General features: G+C 46.5%; 1 protein-coding gene and 1 long non-coding RNA gene across 8 annotated transcripts, besides 1 other annotated feature; one reads left to right on the plus strand and one right to left on the minus strand.

The window, feature by feature from the left end:
* Nucleotides 359-653: an enhancer, noted in NCBI's record as "tiled region #9392; K562 Activating DNase unmatched - State 12:CtcfO". NCBI's record gives its function as "activates a minimal TATA promoter and a strong SV40 promoter by Sharpr-MPRA in K562 cells {active_cell/tissue: K562}" and the evidence as "EXISTENCE:reporter gene assay evidence [ECO:0000049][PMID:27701403]".
* Nucleotides 1,941-8,490, minus strand: LOC105371464 (uncharacterized). Of its 2 annotated transcripts, XR_007066676.1 has the most exons (4): nucleotides 4,444-8,490; nucleotides 3,998-4,139; nucleotides 3,408-3,607; nucleotides 1,941-2,022 (listed from the first exon to the last, which is right to left on the minus strand). It is a non-coding gene; the product is annotated as an uncharacterized LOC105371464 (long non-coding RNA). The 2 variants fall into 2 exon arrangements; XR_922195.2 differs by having other exon boundaries at nucleotides 3,998-8,490.
* Nucleotides 1,972-17,717, plus strand: FCRL6 (Fc receptor like 6). 6 transcript variants are annotated; one of them, NM_001426231.1, is made up of 11 exons: nucleotides 1,972-2,073; nucleotides 3,875-3,915; nucleotides 8,056-8,076; nucleotides 9,638-9,904; nucleotides 10,421-10,705; nucleotides 10,862-11,143; nucleotides 11,554-11,676; nucleotides 14,949-15,014; nucleotides 15,681-15,752; nucleotides 16,888-16,919; nucleotides 16,996-17,717. In NM_001426231.1, exons 1-11 carry the CDS (start codon nucleotides 2,054-2,056, stop codon nucleotides 17,119-17,121), a joined length of 1,335 nt encoding a protein of 444 aa, NP_001413160.1. In that variant the 5' UTR covers nucleotides 1,972-2,053; the 3' UTR covers nucleotides 17,122-17,717. The 6 variants fall into 6 exon arrangements, with proteins under 6 accessions (NP_001413160.1, NP_001413161.1, NP_001271146.1 ...); NM_001426232.1 differs by having other exon boundaries at nucleotides 3,880-3,915; NM_001284217.2 differs by having other exon boundaries at nucleotides 3,880-3,915; nucleotides 17,001-17,717.
* Nucleotides 17,718-23,195: the final 5,478 nt, after the last annotated feature.

Below are 23,195 nucleotides of genomic sequence, written 5' to 3' on the forward strand. Positions count from 1 at the left end.
GTGTTACAAATTTAAAACCTGAAGCTTAGTGAGATTAAGTCACTGCCCCAGGTTCCTTGCCTAGTAAGCTGCATAGCCAGGACTATAACCTATATTTTTCTGACTCCAAAACGCCTAACAATTATACTTAGGTGCTAGGCCTGGAGACGCAAAGATGATGCCTTTGAAGAGGTCATATGCTAAAAGTGTAGAGAGACACTAAAATAAACATAACACAGTGTGATAAATAGAATAATGGAGACACGGGGGAAAATGCTTTAGGAACCACGAAGACTATACCCCAGTATAGGCCCGTCAATTCCTGAACTCATGGAGGCAGGGGTGGACTGGACATACAGCAAGGGCTAAAAAGAAATACAAATACCTGGATGGATGGATGGGTGGGTACACAGAGAATAAGAGTTCAGTATGAATAAAGATTCCCTCCTTAGGGCAAGTGTGGTTCATGTGGCCACAAGAGGTCGCTCAGATCTGACACAAATGAAGCTTTTTTCCATTGGTGCTGCCATGCTCTCTCCAGAAGCTTTCTGGAAGGAAGGGGTTAGAATGGAGAGAGGGAATGAGGGTGGTGACCAGATGCTCCATAGCGTTTTCTGCCCTCTGTAGGCCAGACCCAGAGCTTCATGCCCAGGCTGGCTCCATTTTCACCCTACTCCTGGTCATTTCCACTCCTGTCCTAAGTTCTAGGCTTTTGATATGTTTCTCCAATGTGTTCTGTCTTTCAGATGTAACTCAGAAATGGTCTTAGGTTTCTCGTTAGGCCTGTAGTTCCAGCTGTGGATGAGACTCCAACCCCAACAGGCTTTCTGGCTGAGTGCCTTTGTACAAATTACTTCATCTTTCTGGGACTCACCAAAAACACTAAGGTTGGGAGGAAGGGTCTGGTCTTTAAGTCTTCCTGACCCACACTGCTTACAATAGCTCACCTTCACCGAACACTTCCTACTTGCTAGGCATTGGTCTAAGCCTGCAATATCCAAGAAGGCAGACACTTGTCACATGTAGCTGCTTAAATTTTTTAAATTTCAACTAAAGTAAAAACAATTAAAACTTCAGTTTCTCTGTGTCATGAGTCAATTTCAAGTGCTTAATAGCTCTCTGTGGCCACTGAACTGGATAGCCCAGAAAACATTTCATCATCACTGAAAGTTCTATTAGATCTTGCTGTCTGAGAGCATCTTATGTTTTTAATCTTGTTTAACCTTCATAGCAACCCTATGATGCAGGTGTAATTATGTATCCACTTTAGAGATAAGGACCCTGAGACACAGACTGGTTAAAAAACTTACCCAAGGTCTCTCACCAGATTCATATCCAGAGTGAGGATTCAAGCTCAGATATTTGGCTCTAGGGCCTACCATGCAGAGCTGTCCCCTACCCCAAGCTCTCTTGCTCTCCCGTCTCGCCTCCGGAACTGGAATGACTTATCCTGTTCCCCAAAGGCCATTGTCCCTGACTACTGCCGCCCTGACAACTGACTCTTTGAGTGATGAGAGCACCTGGGCCTGGAGCCTCTTCTGGATGAGGATCCACACTCTATTTTCATCCCACCTCCTTTTAGCCCCTGAATTCCCTTAGAGTATTAGTGTTAGTATCATGGGTTTTAATATCTCCACTAACCCATCCCATTCTCAGTTCAAGGTCAGCCTGAGTCCTGGAAGATTCCAAACCTGGGCAGCAGCCCTGTTGCTGTTCCCTGAGGGTCACCTTCATCCCCAAGGGAACAACATGCAGCCAGCTCAGCTCAGGCTCAGCTCACCAACACCTTTGAAGGTGCAACAGCATCTCACTCTGCAGGGGAAGTGCGAAAAGTCAGATGCAGTTCACACTCTCATGCCGCTAGAACCCGGTAGAAGTTGCCAGGGCAGAGGCTTCATCCGTTCTGTGTGCAAACCACAAATGTTTGCAAGCTAGACCACTTGCGGTTATCCCCTCTGTCTCCTGCCCCAGCTGCTGCCCTGCAGGGACTCCACACACCCACAGGACCTGCAGCTGAACGAAGTTGAAGACAACTCAGGAGATCTGTTGGAAAGAGAACGATAGAGGAAAATATATGAATGTTGCCATCTTTAGGTGAGTGGACAAGATTTCTACTTCCTACTTTACTTCCTCACTACTTTTCCCTCTTTCCTAAACAACTGAGTCACCGAAAAAAATGCCTGGCAGTGTCAAATTAGTTTCCCACTTCCACTGAGTCAGACAATCTAGGGCAAGAAAACTTAGAAAATTCTCTCTGTCCATTCCTGGCCTCAGCAATAGGCACATCAAATTCCATCAGACTATGTAGAACTTCTCACTTAAAGATTTCCAGGAAGAACTTTACTGTCAGAAAATGCTTAGCCAGGCATGGTGGTGCATGCCTGTAATCCCAGCTACATGGGAGGCTGAGGCAGGAAAATCACTTGAACCTGGGAGGCGGAGGTTGCAGTGAGCCAAGATTACACTCCAGCCTGGGCAACAGAGCAAGACTCCTTCTCAATAAAAAAAAGAAAAAAGAAAGAAAAGAAACAAGAAAATGAAAATGCTTCCTAGTATTTTGCCTGACTCTGTGTTTCACCGTGAACTCCCATGTTCTGTCCACAGAGGAGATGAGAATGTGTGACCTCTTTTTCTGTTGAGGGAACATTGAATAATTTCCAGTTTTTATCTATTACAAATGATGCTGCTATGAGCACTCTTGTATATGTTTTTTCAGGCTTATATGTATACATTTCTGTTTGACATTTACCCAGGAGTGAAAATGCTGAGCCATCAGGGATCCCTGTGTTTAGTTTTGGTAGATTCTGCCAAGCCATTTTCTAGTGACTGTACCAATTTATATTCCCACTAGTGGTGTACAAGAGTTCTAGTTTCTTCACATCCTCACCAATACTCAGTAGAGGATTGCATGGGGAGGGTCACGGGCTCCCCCAGACCCAGCTCAGTCTCAGCTGGTATCACTCCCTTATTCTTATGGAAGGTGTAGTGGTATCTTATTATGGTTTAAATTTGCATTTCCACGGTGATTTATGATGTCTAGCTCCTTTTGCTATGTTGATTTGACACGTGGATATCTGCTTCTGTGAAGTACCTATCCAATTATTTTTGCCCATTTTTCTAGTATGTTGTCTGTCCTTTTCTTACTGACTTGCAGAAATTCTTATATTTCTTCTGTGGGCCCTTTGTCAGCTACATGTATTTAAACTATCTCATCACACCACAGCTTGCCTGTTCCTTCTCTTAATGGTGTCTTTTAAGGAATAGTTCTCAAAATCATACTGACAGTCTTAAAAGCCTCAGATGCCGAAGCTCCATCTGTGTTCTACTCCAGACTCATCGATGTCTGATTCCCTCCTGAACTGAGGATCCTGTGAAGCATCCTCAGGGCTCCACTTCTCCATCGCATTGCAGCATCCACACACATTTACCTCTGGAGACAGGAGCTCCTTGGAAGCTGGGAGGTCACTCGGTGGTCAAGGGGTAGATGATCTTAGTTTTACAGTGCTGCGCTGTCTCCCAGGCTGAATGACGCTGAAGCCAAGCAAATTCGGGCAGTCTCTGGACCTTTCTAATGGAGGTGTCCCATAACCATGTTCCATCCTAGTTCCCTGGCATAGGCTTGTTGAAGCTGCAGAAAATGTCAGGGATTTATTAGTGATTTACCGACTCCTTCATACTTAGTGTTCAGGAAAATTTATTCATGTAATACTTCTTCAACCAAAGAGGAAATATCAATTAGAGCTTTGTAAGTTTCTTTTCCACTTCCTATTTTGGCTATCAAGCTATAGCACCACCCAGCTCAGGCCACCCACCCACCTTCGGTCCTGAGGCCTGGTTGCTCTCTGCCGGCTTCGCCCTGACCTGTTTCTGACCTGTGTTCCCTCCGCTGTGCCAGAACAGGCCCCATGCTGCTCTGGACGGCTGTGCTGCTCTTTGGTAAGTCAACGAGCATGGGCATCCCCTCTTGGAGCACTAAGGACCGTAAGTCATCCCTGAGACACCAAGTTCCTCATCTTACCTTTCCCAATTCCAGTGGGTTTGTGGCTGGAGCTCAAGACAGGTGTGTGCACCTGGGCATGCTTGGGAGAGATGGGCACTGGGGTAGGAGAAACTCCTCAGTGTTTCCTACCCCGTAGTCCTGGGTCCTTGGCAGCGCAGCCCTTTGATATGTCAGAGATAAATTAGGGAGGCAGAAAATCACATTACAAAGTCCCCTAACTTCCCAATGACATTTCTACCTTGTGACATCAGGTTAAAATACTAATCAGAGCTGTCTCAAAAGGAAATGGAGGTTGCAGGAGGGAAGGAGGCTGCTGGGGGCAACAGGGAAGGAGTCAGGGAAATGAGGGGAAACAGTCCCAGGCATTTTGCTCAGCAATGGGAGGTGGAATTTTACAGGGTGACATATTTTTATGGAGCCTCAGCATTTTCTTAGAACCAGGTAACAATGGCCAGACCTCTCACCTGGTTGAAAGGCCTGTGCTCTGAGTAACCAAAGCCCTTTTCAAATTGACTGTCTCTCTTCCGCCTACATCTTCTCTCTGTTGGGAGCTGTTTCAGATCCATGGGGCTGGTTTGAAGAATCAACTCCATTGTCTGATCCATGTCTCTCTCTCTCTTCTCTCCATTTCTTCTCATGCAGGCTACTTGTAACTAAGAGAGCTGGTCTAAGGGTAGAGGATTGCACGCAGAGGGTCACTGGGCTCCCCCAGACCCAGCTCAGTCTCAGCCAGTGTCACCCCCCTTATACCTAAAAGAAATAATTTGGCATATATTTTGTTTCACTTTACAGTTTCCAAGTGGACCTACTTTTTGTTTAATTCTTGGTCCCAATAGCTTGCTTGCTATTTGTATTCCTTGAACTAGAAAAGCAAAACTGTTCCTAAATATAACCTCTTCCTGGACAGAGTTTGTGAGAATTTGACCCTGTGAGGAAAATGCCCCTTCCACTCAATGTTCCTTCTCCAGCATAGCATGCTACTCGTGTGTTCTATGAATGGCCATTTGGACAAATGAAAAGGTCTAATGCTCACACTGAGGCGGGGACAGGATAGCCTAATGCCTGGATATACTCCAGGCAGAAGACTCCCAGGGGCAAATGGCACTACCGGCACTACCTTGTAAAAGGAACAGCCCTTGGACTTGTCTAGATACAGTCTGAGAGTGTTCCAGCTTGGAACCCAGGACGAGGATGACAGACAGCAAATGAGGAGAGGAAGGGAATCAGTGACCGGCTGACTGGTGCACAGTGTAATGGAGAATCCAGCACCAGCAAATTTGGTCCCACTTGATGCTCAGGGACCCTGGAAAAACAGCCTAAAACACAGACACTGGGGCTGGGTGTGTAGCAACATTTATCTTACCATAAGTGTAGAGCTGCTATTTCCTCTCTCAAGAGCAGGGTGTGGTCATAATAAATTGGTGGCTATTACTATTATTGGCTGTCAGGGCTCCGGGAGGAAAGGAATCCTGACATTGAGCATGTGGGGACCTGGCTGAATGTGAAATATGTATTTAAAGTTTGGGAAATTAGGCTTAATTTTCTTCTGAGCTGAACATTAGCCAACTTCCCTCCTACCACTGGAGGCTGCTCCCCGCATTCTCACACAGCGTCCATAGGAGGTGTCATGGGGTCCCATACAGCCCTCCCAGCAATGTGACTGCTGCAGCTTGGCACTGCAGCCTGTTCCACAGTGCTAGAGCTCAGTGGTGAGAGAGTTCTTCATGTTGAGCCGAAATCTGCCTCCATGATCCCTCTAGTTTCCATTTCTGTCCTATAAAGTAACTCAGAATAAGTCTCCCCCTTCTTTTAAGCTTAGCCCACCAAGTATTTTGTGTCTTTCCTCTGTTGCATCTTTCCCAGATAAATATCTCCCGATCCCTCAGAAACTTTAAGAGGAAATTATCCTGCTCCTAGAGTTGGCAGGGGCTCCTGCCTTCATTTTTCGGAATTCTATTACGCAACTTGGTTTGACCATAGCTCTTGGCCACTTCATGATACTGTCACCTCATCTTCAGCCTATAGCTAATGGAGGTCCCTGGGCCCTCATTGCAGGAACTGCTGTAAGCAGGTGTCACCCCCTGTGTATGTTCCCAGTTGGCTGCTGTTTTGATTGCAGAAACCAATTTTGTAATCCCACCTCCAAGATCTTGCAGTACCATGGGGAGCAAGTCATTGAGATTTGGGGACAGGAGCTCATTTTAAGTGCATCTATGCTTCCTGAGTGCCTTCTGTCTTGTTTTTGGCTTCAGTAGTCTCAACCCTGTTTGTTTAGCACTTTGTAGCTGCACAATTGTTTTCCAGTGAGGTGGGGAAGGGAAGGAAGACATAACTACAGAGTAAGGTCTCTGTCACTCTGAGGTCAGGCCTTCTTTCTGCTTTCAGTTAATGTAGTAACCACTTTCCCAGGCAGTGGGTCAACATAACCTTCACAACTACACTGTAAGAAAAAAATGACTATTATCATTTCTATTATGTGATATGACAGAATGAGATATTGAAGGCTCTTGGAACTTAGACAACTTGTTCAAGGTCGTACAGAAAGAGGCAAATTCATGACTCAAGTCCAGGTCATCTGATTCCAAATCCTGCATGCTTTCCACTACACCGAGCTCATAGATGGGGGTTAGGGGTGGAGATGGAGGGATGATAAAGAAGAGACTCATTGTTCTGCACACTCTTGAGAGCATATGACTGAGCTGACCCTGAGCTGAATAGAGAATTGAGCTGAAAGATTCCACCTGTGTCCAAAGTAGTGTAGAAAGCAAAGATGATACCATGTGACAGAGCCAAACATCTGCTCTTAGAGGGTTTTCACCCACCCTTCCCAAGGCCATTCTTGCATTTTTTTTTTGGTGTTATGTAAAATACCTAGGACATGCCAGCAATGCAGGACACAAGTAAATGTATGAGGATTGGCTGGACTGACTGCACTCAGCCCTACATTCATTCATTGTTTCACACCTTGCCCCAAAGTCCAGAAGATTCTTCACTGCTTCATATCCAGCTATGACCTTCAATTTCAGGTCTTCCATTGTTTGGGCTATTCAAACCTATCTAACCATATCTGTCATCATTTTGTGAGTTGGCCCCTCTTCCCAGGTCACCTGTTCTCACACATTCACTCATTTAAAAACATGAATGTAGCACATCCAAGATGCAAGCATGATGTGGGATGCATCCAGTTTGTTTGTAGTTCTCTCATTCATCCATGCTGCCTGATAATGTCTCACATCCTTTAATGATTACTCTTTCAGGGGACTTATCCTCCTCAGTCTGGTCACTTCCATACCCTTTTTGCCAGAGCTCTGTGGAGAGATGGGACCACAAGAATCAGGTCCTGCCCTTGCTATATGGGTTCTCCTGTAGATGTTGGAGGTAGGACCCTCAGGCACATTCGTACAAGAGTCTAGTCCTATGTTTTCTACTTTTTGCTTCCCACCTCGTACAATGGGATGCAAAGGAAAACATTCATGCATTTATTCAGCAGATGCTTACTGAACACAGACTATGTTCCAGGCACAGGTCTTGGGCATAGAAAATATAGCAATGAGTAAAATAAGCAGAGTCCCTGCTACTATGGAGCTTATATTCTAGCCAGAGAGAGAGGTGATAACATGTAGGCAATTTAATGAATAAGATAAATTCAAATAGTGATAAGTGTTTTGAAGATAATACAATGGGGCATTGTTTTAGTGATTGGGGAAAATTCTTTTGATTGGAGTCCCAGGGAAGACCTGTTTGAGAAGGCAACATTTGAACTGTGATAGGGCAAAGAGTTCTAGGGAGTACGTCCAGCACAAACGTTGAGTAGTCAAGTGGCCGGGTGGTTGGGTGGTTGGGTGGTTGGATGGTTGGATGGTTGGGTGGTTGGATGGCTGATGGCTGGGTTGTTTGGTGGTTGAGTGGTTATGTGGTTGGATGGTTGGATGGCTGTGTGGATGGGTGGCTAGGAGGTTTGGTGGCCGGGTGGTTGGTTGAATGGGTGTAAGTCCCCATTGCTGAAGTGACAGGCCTCCTTGTCAGAAAGCTCTTTTTGCTACTTAACCTAATTGTGTTACTTTGTTCTCTTGCAGTTCCCTGTGTTGGGAAAACTGGTAAGTTGTGTCCATGTCTCTTCTAATTCAAAGTATGTCTATGGGCCAAAACTTACTGGATGGGAACAGGACAGTGCCATGGGGTCCCCCAGAAACATCTGCAGAGCAGCACCAGACTAGGCCCCTTCCTCAGGAGTCTTGGCCAGTTCCTAGGAAAAGGAGGAACTTGGAACTCCACTAGTCTAAGGCCAAGGGTAGTCCTAGGGTGACACAAGCCTCAGCAGTGGGACTCTAGGCCTCTATCTTATACCCTTAAAAGTGTCTGTGGCCTCTGTCTTCTCTTCAAGTGGTTCTGGAGCTCTTATATTCTCAACTCAACAAGACTGGGACTCCCTTCCTTCCTTTTATGTTCAGAGAAGCAGCAGGCACCTTTTTCTGCTGATCAGTCTTCCTTCCTTCCTCAGATCCCCTTCCCTCCAGCCCATTCTGTGACACTGACCTCCATGGAGCTTTCTGTCAAACAGGAAAAAATTCTGATCTATGAAATCTTGACCTCCAAGGACATATTCTGTGATTCCAGGGGGAGATAATTCAAACCAATACTTAGTGCTGTTAGAAAAAGCAGTAGTGGAAGCAAGACCTGCTGTTCGGTAATGCGGTGAGCATCGTTACTTCCAGGGTGAGGAGAGTGGGTCCTAAGGATCCAGAAGATCCAGGCAAGAGCAGGATGTGCTGGGGCTCCCTAACTGTTACTCCTCATTAGTCTCAGGCCATCAGGCCTGCTCAGAAGGCTGTCTGGGAATGGGGGTGTCTGGCTTATCAAAGAGATGATACAGGCTGGGGACAGATACAGGCTGGGGACAGATACAGACTGGGGACAGGCTCAGCCTGCCCTGCAGGTGATGGTGGATCCCTGGGAGCTCTTCTCCTGCTCACATCAGTGCACAGAATACATTTTAGGAATAGAGACAGAGAGAACAGATCCCTTCCATAAGAGTGGTGGAAGATGAAACGCCCTGCTGAGGGTAGAGATGGAGGCTGGGCCTAAGGAAGCCCAATGAGGAAGACAGGAGGGAGAGAACTCAGGCTGTGGCACCTCCAACATGCCCCACCAGCTGCTTTCTGGTGGACACAGATGCTGCTATTATCAGAAGTGAAGGCTGCAGAAAGTGTCACATTAGGTAGCCACAGGAGGAGAAGCCAATCTAGGCTGGAGGGAATTGAGTCAGGAGGAATGAGGCAAGACAATGAACAGAATGAATGCAATTAAGCCAAGCTTGGCAAGGCAGACAGGAAAGTGCAATATAAAAGAAGACAAGGAGGGTGGGTGGGAGGAAAGCCAGAGAGAAGACACAGGGAGAGGAAAGAAGGGGAGGGGAAGGGAAAGGAATAAAGAGAAAGAGGGAAGAGGAAGGAGAGAAGAAGGAAAGGAAGGAGGAGTAAAGGAAGTCCAGGTCCTGCCCTTCTCTGGTCGGCATGAAGGACTGGAGACAGTGACACCATACCAGTGCCATCCAAGGGCCTCCATCCCCAGCAGGAGGCCTTAGGCTGGGGGACAGAGGGAGAGAAGTGACTGATGGGACCTGTAGCTCCAGGGCTGCCCTGTTCCTCTGTCTCGCAGTCTGGCTGTACCTCCAAGCCTGGCCAAACCCTGTGTTTGAAGGAGATGCCCTGACTCTGCGATGTCAGGGATGGAAGAATACACCACTGTCTCAGGTGAAGTTCTACAGAGATGGAAAATTCCTTCATTTCTCTAAGGAAAACCAGACTCTGTCCATGGGAGCAGCAACAGTGCAGAGCCGTGGCCAGTACAGCTGCTCTGGGCAGGTGATGTATATTCCACAGACATTCACACAAACTTCAGAGACTGCCATGGTTCAAGTCCAAGGTGAGTCACCAGCTTGGGAGTTTGTGGGGCAGGAGGTGCTGCTCAAGGGTCCCGTTTCTAGAGGTCAGTAGCTCTCTGGGCTGGACCCCTGTCTCTGGCTGCCCCTCATGCTGGGCCAATGTGTGGGGCCCCGAGGTTTCCCAAGATGTTGTCTCAATACCCCCCTCTCCCCACCATGGGGGACACATGTAGCCAGGGGAAGGAGGGGGGAGATTCTTGGGAAGGGGGCACTGGGAAGACCCTGGACCAGTCCAGGCTCACCCTTCCCCTCTATGGACTAGAGGACTTCGAAGGCCCCCTCTGCCTCTGACTTCCAAGATTCCAGAAGGGCCTGGCTATGTGGGAGTCATTTCAGAGTTTGTGGGTGAGGGTAAGAGGACGGGTCCTAGGGATGAAACTGCCTCCCATCGGGGTCCCCGGGCTGCAGCCTGAGATGAGTAGAAGCTCAGGCCTCAGCCTCCTGGGGCTTCATCATCCAGGACTCCCCTCCTGAGTCCTGGGCCTGCATCTCCCCAGAGCTGTTTCCACCTCCTGTGCTGAGTGCCATCCCCTCTCCTGAGCCCCGAGAGGGTAGCCTGGTGACCCTGAGATGTCAGACAAAGCTGCACCCCCTGAGGTCAGCCTTGAGGCTCCTTTTCTCCTTCCACAAGGACGGCCACACCTTGCAGGACAGGGGCCCTCACCCAGAACTCTGCATCCCGGGAGCCAAGGAGGGAGACTCTGGGCTTTACTGGTGTGAGGTGGCCCCTGAGGGTGGCCAGGTCCAGAAGCAGAGCCCCCAGCTGGAGGTCAGAGTGCAGGGTAAGTGCGCGAGAGAGTGGAGATGCCCCCAGGGCCCTGGGCGTCAGGCAGTGGGATCCCCTGGGACTAAAGGAGTTGGGGGAAGGGTCCCCAGGAGAGGAGGGAGCCAGGGTCCTGGGTGGTCAGGCTGAGCCTCCCACCCCATGTGTGTCCCAGCTCCTGTATCCCGTCCTGTGCTCACTCTGCACCACGGGCCTGCTGACCCTGCTGTGGGGGACATGGTGCAGCTCCTCTGTGAGGCACAGAGGGGCTCCCCTCCGATCCTGTATTCCTTCTACCTTGATGAGAAGATTGTGGGGAACCACTCAGCTCCCTGTGGTGGAACCACCTCCCTCCTCTTCCCAGTGAAGTCAGAACAGGATGCTGGGAACTACTCCTGCGAGGCTGAGAACAGTGTCTCCAGAGAGAGGAGTGAGCCCAAGAAGCTGTCTCTGAAGGGTGTGTTTTGTTCTCCAACAGAGCTTTGAGCCCCAGCAAGCTGGCAGGGGTCAGATCTCACCCTCTGTGTACCTCCCATCACGACTGGCACAGTGCTGGACTCATGGCAGCCACTGCATGACTGAGCATGGACCCTAATTAGTCCATCTGTCCACTGAGCCTGGCAGAGAAATATTGAAGTCCATGGAGAGTGGGGAGCCTCACGGGGGGAGCAGTCACGTGGTCACTCGTGGTGTCACCATCATCCTTGCTGCCATCCCCTGAGCCATCCTTCATGCCCATCTATGAGGCTCCCCCAGGCCAGACGGTTCCCCTAATATCAGTCATTCTGCCTGTTCTGTGCCAGGCTAGAATGCATTTCCGAATTTTATCTTCAGTGCTCATGGCCACCTTCTTCTCCCTGCTCCCAGGTTCTCAAGTCTTGTTCACTCCCGCCAGCAACTGGCTGGTTCCTTGGCTTCCTGCGAGCCTGCTTGGCCTGATGGTTATTGCTGCTGCACTTCTGGTTTATGTGAGATCCTGGAGAAAAGCTGGTCAGTAACTCCTCTTGGCTTTCTTAGCTGCTGAATCCCTGTGCCAGGCCCTGCCCAGACTTTGGAAAGCCAGAGTCTGACAGGACCAGCCACTCTCTTCTCCTGGGTGTGGAGTGGCAGGGGGGACTTCTCTTCCTGTGTCACACAAAGGGGCACATGGAAGGACAGTTAATGCTTCCAAAACATATACACACATGCACTTGCTCACATGCTCACAGTCATCCAGAGATGCACACAAACACACAACCGCACACTCAGGCATGATTAGAACATAAACCAAGGAATTATTACAAGCCAAACGTGAGGTATGTCAGTATCCTTTACATTTGGAAGACAATCTGTGGCTAGGAATATGAGCAAAAAAAAAAAGGCCTCCACCTCTCTCTCTCATTGAGCTCAGCAGAGCTCTGATCTGCTTAGCAGAGGAGAAAGAAGACAGAACTACAGTGTGTATGCATAGGCTCACTCACACACACTCATCTTGTACAGTACTTTACTGTAGCAGAGTGTGCAAAGGATATTAACTATCAGAAAGGAAATATGATAGACAAGACTGAGCAATGGCCTGTTCCCAACACTACCATTAGTTCCATAGCCTTGAGCCAGTTCACTGTAAGACTCACTAAATCAGCTTCCTTTCCAGGGATGCTGTAAGGGTTTAAGTTAATGAGATAACATTTATCTAATACCTCATGTATTAGACTGGCACATAGTGGGTGCTCAGTAAATTCTCATTCTAATCTGAGAAGATCACCCCAGCAGGTTCCCAGGCTGCCCTTTCTCCTCTGTGCATTCTCTAATGCTTCTAATCAAAATCACTGAAAATAAAAAGGTTGGTTAAAATTCTGATGTAGAGGAAAACAATCAGATAAACGACATTTCAAGTTATCTATTTATTTTGATATTCCAGACTTTCTTCTTCCTGTCACAGTCGTGATAATTAAGAATGAATGTTGGCTCTCAAAGCAATTAGTTTGGGGGGCCACGCATTTATTCCAACTCTAACCTTTGCTCGCCTCAGGCCACACACATATAAGGAATGGCTACCAGTGCCAAAGCTATGATTCCTAGTGCTTCAAATCCACCTACAGAGGTTCAAATCAACCCCACTTCCTCCTCTGCAGGGGCAATGTTATTTTCTGCTTGTCTAGGACAAAAGTGATTGTTCTCATAGACCTCCAAAGCTAGATGTACTTATTTAAGTTTGCAGCTCCCTCTGTTGAGAAATTTGGGATGAGTTTTCTAGGAGCTGGACCAGCCTGATAATTAAGGAAGACCACCCAGTCATATGTTCAAAGCATTCCTTCCTGCATCCACCAGGGTACCTGAAAAGGTCTCTTCCCACCCCTAGTCCCAACACTCTGCCTCACCAGGTGCCTAGTTAAGGCTTGGACCAGACTTCAACTTCCTCTCCCCTTTTGAATATGTAGTCTTTGTCCATACAACTTCCCATCCCCACCCTTCTCACTAGTCTTGAGTCTGGATTCAATACAGGCTAGACTTGCTTTAAGGTATTCTTTCATAGTGGGGGAAAAGGAGAGGATGCCCAGAGCTATTGGGGAGGCAGCCGGAGTAGGGAACCACAAACCAAAGATCTGTGAGTTATGCTGTCATTGTGTCTAATAAATCCTCCTCCAAAGGGCCCAGCCTGGCCTCGGTAATACAGGTGTTTCTGTTTCTGTCCACTCACCTCTGAGTCAAAGCATTAAATGCAGAGCAATGGCAGAGTAATGTAGCACAACTGCCTCCCTCCCCAGCCCCAGACGAGATGGTGAAAGAGTGGTCACTAGTGAAAGATCCTCAAGAACAAGATACCTTTCACAGGGAACAAAAGAGCATCCTCTTGATGTAGAGATTATAAACCATCACCACCACACCCACTGCCAACCTTGGAGCAGGTGGGCTTCATTTTACTAAGGAACCTGTCTCTCATGCAAACAGGACTGCTGGTGGTGATCTTAATATCTCAGAATCTCAGGCGCACAAAATATTCTTTAGAATATTGCTCAGAAAGTCACTTTCAGGACCAATTCCTTAGCTACGCAGGAAAAACAGCCAGATCAATAGCCTTGTTCTCCACACCCAGCTCTGGGAGACTCACAACCATTTCCAAATAGCATAGCTGTTCTTCAGCAAACAGAAATATGCCACCGCCAAAGACAGTCTACAGATGTCATGTCCAAAGTCAATTTTTAGAACATTTGACCAATGATGGTGTTACTGGAACAAGGATATGGTCATGCAAGGGGTCCACTTCAAAGTAGCACTCACCTGCATGTACAGGTTCTGCTGTGCTTGTTTAAAAGTGTTCCTTTTACTACCAGTTGTCACACATCCCGTAAAACAAAGTTCTGTCAAACTCATGGAACTCTTCATTGAATGGAGACTTAGAAACTGAGGCTCATTTCTCAGCCCTGACGAATGAGCGTTGGAGAATGCTTAATCACTGGGGATCTGTCTAAGTCTCCATAAATCCCCTCTTGATTTTACAGAAGGAGCCATTTCCACATATCCTACCCAGTGATTCTGATGCTTTCTAGCTCTTAGAGTAATGAGTATTTCTTGGGCACCAGGCATGAACCAAGTGTTCTAAAATCTACATGTGACTCAATTCCTATCCCAAGAGTTACCTTTAAAGTTCTGGAAGCACCTGCTGTTCCAGAGGCAGCATGCTAGTAGAGAAAAGGCATGCAAACCTGGATTAAGATTCTGTCTCCACTACTTACTGTGACCTTATAGAAGTCGCCTCTCCCAGCTCCAGTCACCTCATCTATGAAATGGAGATAAAAGTATCAACCTTTGCAAGATGGTTGTGAAAACCATTAGACGCCAAAGAATTAGGAAGAGAGGTGTTTTTGAAATCCAACTATGTGCTGGTCACTGGTTAGGTGCTTTACTAGGAAGATTATATTTTATTTGGATTGCCTGGCCCAGTGTCTGGCATATAGTGTATGGTCAAAGTTATTAGCTTTTTTCCTTCTGAAAAGCAGCTTGACTGGTAAGCCTAGGCCCTCTTCATGCAAAAATGTGATCCATTCTTGCTGACCTTACTTCCTCCTAGTTTGTGATTCCCATGGAGCCATCTAGGGTATTTTTCAAAGGAAACATCCCATAAAAATCAACCATGTCCAGACCTGTGAACTAGCCCTCCTAACCAAACCAGCCTCAAACCTCCAGCGGCCTCCTTGTCATTCTTGCTCACAGCTTTCCTGTCCCCTGTCCCACCTGCCCTCTAAGGGACACCCAGTGAATCATGCCCTTGTATCTCCTAGGGCCCCTTCCATCCCAGATACCACCCACAGCTCCAGGTGGAGAGCAGTGCCCACTATATGCCAACGGTAAGGACTTCCAGCAGGATGGTGGTGTGCCCATGTGGGCCAAAAAGAGCTTCTTAAGGGAAGTAAGAAGGGAGCTCTCCAGAGCCCTGTATCTCAGGAATTGGAGTGATCTGGGGAAGGAAAACAAACAGCTTCTAGAAAGGGCATGAAGAGGGAGTGCTGTGGAGCTGGTGGTGGGAGAAGGGGGTGGGAAGGGAGCCAGGGCTGCAGGAGACGGGGCAGGGAAGGTTTGGACCAAGGGTTGGCAAACTTGTGGCCCATGGGCCAAACCCAGCACACTGCCTGTTTTTGTAGATAAAGTTTTACTGTAACACACACATGCTCATTGGTTTATTTTGTTTGAGAGCTTTCATATTACAGAGTTAACATTTGTGACAGAGATTATACAGCTCACAAAGCCAAAAATATGTACACCTTTTTTACAGAAAAATTTTGTCAACCTCTGGTTTAAACAGTGTCAGGGCTAGGGAAGCTGCAAAAAAAAAATGTTAAGGGGGCCTGACTCCCCTTGCCATGATGGCTATCCCCACATTAGTGACCAACCCTCATTGCCACTTATCACCATAACAGAGCCCCTGATGGGCTTCTCTCCATGTCTTCAGGACACTTATGACATGAGGTGGGAGAGTCAGGAGGATCCTATTTAAGCCTCATTCCTTCTTCCAGTGCATCACCAGAAAGGGAAAGATGAAGGTGTTGTCTACTCTGTGGTGCATAGAACCTCAAAGAGGAGTGAAGGTGAGTGATCTCAGGCCAAACTTGGTACCTTTGCAAACAGAAGTTTTGGACCTACAATGAGAGTATCACTACCACTGTCATTACCACTTTTATCATTACTGTGACCACCATCACTATCACCAAGACCATCATATTTATCTCCATTATTGTCACCACCATCTCCTCCTTCACTACCACCTTCACCTTCACACCATCATCAATGCTACCATGACCACCACCACCTATCTCCTCCACTACCACGCTCACCACAAACACCACTATGACCACTATATTCACCATTCTCAACATCATCTCCTCCACACTGTTACCATGATAAGTGCAGGGAGTTTTTTGCCCTTTCCTGAACAATGTGAAGGACAAAGAAAAGAGAGAAAAAATGATGTAGTCTTCCTTTGCTCCAGAGTCTAAGTCTAAACAGGACAGTCTCCACTATAAGATGGAGTCAAGAAGACCATGGGCTCCAGCCACAGCTATCAGAGTCAGTTGGCAGAGATGGGGGAAAGGCTGGTCCTTTAACAGAGAAATAGGCCATGTGGCATCATGAGAAGAATGTGGGTTTCTGAGTCTCAGAACTGAGTTTGAAACCTGACTCTATGTACTTATTCACTGTTGACTTGGCAAGTCAAGTGTCCTCTCTGGGCCTAATCTGCAAAGGGGAGACAATGCCTGCTTTGCAGGACTACTGTAAGTTGTTAGGAATAGAACCTAGGTTCTAGAAACAAACCTTAAAAATTGTCTACATGTAATAGATGTTCAAAACAGGGAGTTTTGTTGTTGCTGTCGTTTTAATGTCTTATCTGCCCTGCTAATTCAGTTCCTAATCTGCAAAAATGGGTTTGAATTGGCGTAGGGTTTCTGCTCCTTCCCATAAATGGCAGTAGGGGAAATGAACAGTCAAGGAGTCTCTTAATTGAAGGGCAGTTCCCCCAGGACCTGAGGTCACACAGCTGGTGTGTAGTCCAGCTGGAACTAGAACCCAGGTCTCCCAATTCCAGGTTGAGGAGGAGTGAAAGGAATCTCCCCTGGCTGGCTTCCCTGGCTTTCTAGAGGAAGATAGCCAGCCAGGAGGGGTGGGAAGGAGATGTACTTGCTGTGGAGCACAGAGACCTGACCTGAGCTCATTCTTTCCCCACAGCCAGGTCTGCTGAGTTCACCGTGGGGAGAAAGGTGAGCTGGGATCCCTGCTCCTTTCTCACCCTCTCTCTTACATTTGCTTCCTCATCCTGAGCCAACTCTTCCACAGGACAGTTCTATCATCTGTGCGGAGGTGAGATGCCTGCAGCCCAGTGAGGTTTCATCCACGGAGGTGAATATGAGAAGCAGGACTCTCCAAGAACCCCTTAGCGACTGTGAGGAGGTTCTCTGCTAGTGATGGTGTTCTCCTATCAACACACGCCCACCCCCAGTCTCCAGTGCTCCTCAGGAAGACAGTGGGGTCCTCAACTCTTTCTGTGGGTCCTTCAGTTCCCAAGCCCAGCATCACAGAGCCCCCTGAGCCCTTGTCCTGGTCAGGAGCACCTGAACCCTGGGTTCTTTTCTTAGCAGAAGACCAACCAATGGAATGGGAAGGGAGATGCTCCCACCAACACACACACTTAGGTTCAATCAGTGACACTGGACACATAAGCCACAGATGTCTTCTTTCCATACAAGCATGTTAGTTCGCCCCAATATACATATATATATGAAATAGTCATGTGCCGCATAACAACATTTCAGTCAGTGATAGACTGCATACACAACAGTGGTCCCATAAGACTGTAATGGAGTTTAAAAATTCCTACTGCCTAGTGATATCATAGTTGCCTTAACATCATAACACAACACATTTCTCACGCGTTTGTGGTGATGCTGGTACAAACAAGCTACAGCGCCGCTAGTCATATACAAATATAGCACATACAATTATGTACAGTACACTATACTTGATAATGATAATAAACAACTATGTTACTGGTTTATGTATTTACTATAACTTTTTCTTTTTGAGACGGAGTTTTGCTCTGTCGCCCAGTCTGGAGTGCAATGGCACAATCTCGGCTCACTGTAACCTCTGCCTCCCGAGTTCAAGCGATTCTCTTGCTTCAGTGTCCTGAGTAGCTGGGACTACAGGCATGCACCACCACGCCCGGCTAATTTTTGTATTTGTTAGTAGAGATGGGGTTTCACCATGTTGGCCAGACTGGTCTCGAACTCCTGACCTCAAGTGATCCACCCGCCTCGGTCTCCCAAAGTGCTGGGATTACAGGTGTGAGCCACCGCACCCAGCCCTGTATTTACTGTAACTTTTTATTGTTATTTTGGAATATATTCCTTCTACTTATTTTTTTTAAGTTAACTATAAAACAGCCTCAAGCAGGTCCTTCAGGAAGTATCCAGAAGGAGCCCTTGTTATGATAGGAGATGACAGCTCCATGTGTGTTATTGCCTCTGAAGACTTTCCAGCGGGACAAGATGAGGTGGTGGAAGACAGTGATATTGATGATCCTGACCCTGTGTAGACCTAGGCTAATGTGTGTGTTTATTTATGTCTTAGTTTTTAACAAAAAAGTTTAAAAAGTAAAAAAAAAATAATAATTTTAAAAATAGAAAAAAGCTTATATAAAAATATTTTGTATAGTTATACAATGTGTTTGTTTCAAGCTAAGGTTTATTACAGAAGTCAAAAAGTTTTAAAAACCTAAAAAGTTTATAAAGTAAAAATGTTACACTGAGCTAAGTTTCATTTATCACTGAAGAATTTTTTTTTTTTTTTTTTTTTTTTTGAGACAGAGTCTCACTCTGTCATCCAGGCTGGAGTGCAATGGTACAATCTCAGGTCACTGCAATCTTTGCCTCCTGGGTTCAAGCGATTCTCCTGCCTCAGCCTCCCGAGTAGCTGGGATTACAGGCATGCACCACCACACCTGACTAATTTTTGTATATTTAGTAGAGATGGGGTTTCGCCATGTTGGCCAGGCTGGTCTCGAACCCCAGACCTCAACTGATCCGCCCTCCTCAGCCTCCCAAAAGTACTAGGATTACAGCCATGAGCCACTGTGCCTGACCTGAAGAAAATACTTTCATGAATTTAGTGTAGTCTAAGCAGTGTTGATAAAGCCTGCAGTAGTGTACAATAATGTCCTAGGCCTTCACATTCACTCACCACTCACTCACTGACTCACCCAGAGCAACCCCAGCCCTGCAAGCTCCATTCATAGTAAATGTCCTATACAGGTATATTTTTTTCATCTTTATATTGTTTTTTACTGCATTTTACCTTTTCTGCGTTTAGATATGTTAACTACAAAAATACCATTGTGTCATAGCTGCCTACTATATTAAGGTTTGTAGCCTAGGAGCGATAGGCTATACCAAAAAAAGAAAATGAAAAAAAAAGAAAAGAAATGAAAAGAATAGGCTGTACCATGTAACCTAGGTGTGTAATAGGCTATACCATCTGGCTTCGTGTAAGTACACACTATGATGTTTGTACAGTGATGAAATTTCCTGACAACGCATTTCTCAGAATGCGTCCCTGTCATTAAGTGACTCATGCGTGACTTTGTATGTGTGTATGTGCCCGTGCGCTTCTATTATGGTCCTCAGTCCCTTTGAATATGCTTACCTTGACCCTGAAAAGAAAGAGCATCTGCTGCCCTTTCAGAGCACTTGGCAAGTCAGAAATGCTTCCAGATGTATTTGCATGCACTTATTTTAAAAAGAAAAAAAAAAAAAAAGGCTGGGTGCGGTGGCTCACGCCCTGTAATCCCAGCACTTTGGGAGGCCTAGGAGGGCGGATCACAAGGTCAGGAGATCGAGACCATCCTGGCTAACACTGTGAAACCCTGTCTCTACTAAAAATACAAAAATTAGCCGGGCTTGGTGACGGGCACCTGTAGTCCCAGCTACTCAGAGGCTGAGGCAGGAGAATGGCGTGAACCCGGGAGGCGGAGCTTTCAGTGAGCCGAGATCACACCACTGCACTCCAGCCTGGGCGACAGAGGGAGACTCCGTCTCAAAAAAAAAAAAAATAAAAAGAGAAAGAAAGAAAAAAAGAAAGCCAAGTATATTTTCTCACATTGTAATTTTGCCTTACTGTCTGTTATTTCTCATTGCTGGCCCCTTTCTCAGTCCAAATGCCAGTTGGTGGAGAGGGAAAAGAAATGAATGAAAGCATCACTGTTGTCAAGTGGTTATGCCAGCAGGAACCAGGTTTACCCCGAAACATTGTTCTCTCAGAGGAATAGGAAAACATTTTGAATCTCTTTCTATTTTGTTCTTAAAGGTTGGTTCTTGGGATATTGATGACTACTGTCTGAGAGGTGCTGTGGGGAGATTTTCAGGATTGTGTGGTCTTTGAGGGGGGTGTTTTTTTAAGACAACATTGACCACTGTCCACTGTCCACATGATCATTGTAAAATTGCAATGCCGCATGCTAGTTGGTTACATAAGACATAATTCCAGTGATTGAAGGTGGTTACACTGTATGGTGGTGTGTTCAAGATGGCACTGGCATCTTTGAGCAGAGCCTGGCTATGCAGCATCATTTGAGTTTTTTAAACACCCTAGAGGTCTGGTTGTTGTTGCTGTTGTCCTTTCCTGTGAAAGTCACAAGAGAAGTTACAGTCCAGGTGAACCTGGAGTTTATAGGTTGGTTTTGTTTCTGTTATATATATATATATATATATATATATATATATATATATTTTTTTTAACATTTACCTGTAGTGCTATAGCTGTTGATACTATCACCTGCATGCTATTTCTAGTGAGTGCTAAATACAGTATGGTCCAATGACAATAACAGCCCATGGTACTGCCAGGACTGTCCGTGAGCTTATCAGTGAAAGCCCCCATGTGGGTGGAAGAAACCTGTCATTTCCTTCTTACATGTGTTTGAAATACTAAATGAATAATTTGTTCTTCTTAGGAAAAAATGATACGATAGTAAAAATTTTTTTTAATTAAGGGTTTTATATAATGGATATGCCCCACCTCTCAAACTAAAAAAAGAAAAGAAAGAGCATCACTCCACACCCCAGAGGGCTAAGCCCAGGGCAGCTCTGAATGCATTTCCAGCTTCCAAGCTTCTGGTGAGCCCATGAGTGACCACAGGGCTGAGGAGCCTCTCAGAGGTTCAGCAAGACCAAGGTCAGCCAGAAAAGCGCCTGGCCCAGACAATGTCATAGAATCCTTGACACCAGAGCCAGAGCCCCACAGGCACTGAGAGCTCTGCCTTTCCACACAGCCCCATTCCTGTTCAAATTTCTTCCAGTTTACCAAAGACAGAACTGAGGCTTGCCCAAAGCCCTTGTTTGTGGAGTACATCAGAAAACTCGGTTACCTCTTACTTGTTTAAACAGATATATGATTGTAGCATCTAGTTTTTTGTTAATAGAGGTCTATCAATTGGTTTCATATTGTTCATCAATATCAACGATTTGCAGTACCTGATAGTTTGATTTGGTTTGTTCAAAGAGTCCATACTCCTTGATGACTAAGGGTGGTCAATAAAGGATTGGTTATACTTGTTCCTATGAGGCCCTGGCTCCAGCTTCATAGGTCCCTGCTCTGGAAGCGGAGAACGTAAGGTTCAGCTTACAGATGCTGGAGTGCATCAGACCCCACCCACCTGGCTGACGAAGGAGACATTAGTGTTACCAGGGATCTCCTGGCACCATGGAGCTGAAGGCATCTAGCATCTCCCCTGGACCAGCTGTGTTGACATCCCCTTGGAGCTTGTTAGAAACACAGATGCTCAAACTCAACTCCAGACCTGCTGAATCAGAACCTGCATCTCAATAACATCTGCAGGCAATGTGTATACCCATTAAAGTTTAAAGTTTAAAAAGCACTGGTCTACCTACAAGATACAAACTTCATCGGAGTACATCCAACCCCTCCCCATCCTCATCTTTCTCTTCCTCATCCTCCTCTTCATCTCTCTCATAGATGTCCAGTCCATGTCCAGAATACCCCAGGGCCCCTCCCATTTGTCAATAATCAGAGACCCCCCTGGGAGGACTGAGAAGCACAAGCCAGGTAATCTGGAAGCTCAACGTTCTCACTGGTCACTCAGGGTGTACCAGCAGAACCCAAGGCCTTGCCACTCCCTCTATAAAATAATGCCCCCTTGTAAAAAGTGAAAACATAGACAAGACAGCTCATGAAGGAAAACTGATGATGGAGACTTGGGAGGAACCAGCCCTTCCAGATGTCCCCATAGTCCACCTCCTTCATGAGTTTTCCTATCTTTCCCCCTCCCTGTCCCACACCAGTGATATTCAATGCGTGGTCCACAGCTTCGTGCCAGCCTGTGAATTGATTTTTACTAGTCCGTGACAAGTTAAGTAGAAAAATTGAAGCAAGAATTTAGAAACTTTTAGAGCAATCTGACAAAGTAATTTTATGTTTGTTTAATACAATCATAAAAATCAAGGCTTGTATTTTATATGTCTTCTTAATTTCATTTTTCTAGTAGTTTTATTCTATTGTCTCTACAAAAGTATAGGCCTGCAATGAATTGGAAATTAAAAAGAAAAACAGGTCCTTCAAGACAGATAGGTGAGAAGTCGTATCCTACACACAGACACGCACACACACACACACACACACACACACACACACACACACTATTGGCCTGGCCTCTCAGGCACTTTTCTCTCTGCCTAGAACACCTCTTCTCTCCACCCAGCTCTATTTGCACGGCTGAAAACATCCTTTTCCCTTTGTTTAGAAAAGAATGAGCCGGGATTTTTCCAAATGACCAATTACTAAGAAAATTGAAGAAAAATAAAATCTCAAAAAATAACATAAAGTAGAGATTTCAAAGGAGGCCCTGCCCTTTAGCCCAGATTCACTGGTTTCCCTGATGTCAGCCCATGGAGTCCCAAAGCCCCATTTCCAGTCCTCAGTTGTCACAGCAGGAACCTGCTTCTGCTCTGCAGGACACTGGTGGGCTGCGGCCATCTCCAAGAAAGAATGGGGACTTCCACCGTTCTCCAGAGACAGACCCTGCAGACACTGAGGAGAGGTTCCTGGGGAGACCAGAGAGCTGCTTCCCTACTTCCCCTTTTCCATGGCCCTCTTGGCCTGCCACAGGCACTGGCCACACTAGCCACGGGACTCCCCGCCAGTAGCCTCCTCAGTCTCAAGGCTCTGCCCTGTGAAACATTGCTTCTCGCTTCAAGTCAAAGCTAAATGCAAACACTTATTCAGCCACAGTGACTTGTCTGTGCCTCCTCTTAAGGACCTGGGTTCTATGGGGTCACATTACCTACAGGGTAAAGAGAGAGAAAAGAACTCTAGCTGGGGAGAGTGGAGAGGCAACCTGGAGCTGCTCCTTAAGGGAGAGAGCAGGAAAGAAGCCTCCATCTGGGAGGGAGCCTTGTGGCTGCCGTCTGGTGGCGCTCTCAGGTATTTGAGGTCTTGCGCTTGCTTAGACAGTGATCTGACCCATT

Source organism: Homo sapiens, chromosome 1 (genome assembly GCF_000001405.40).
Source record: "Homo sapiens chromosome 1, GRCh38.p14 Primary Assembly".
Taxonomy (NCBI): Eukaryota; Metazoa; Chordata; class Mammalia; order Primates; family Hominidae; genus Homo; species Homo sapiens.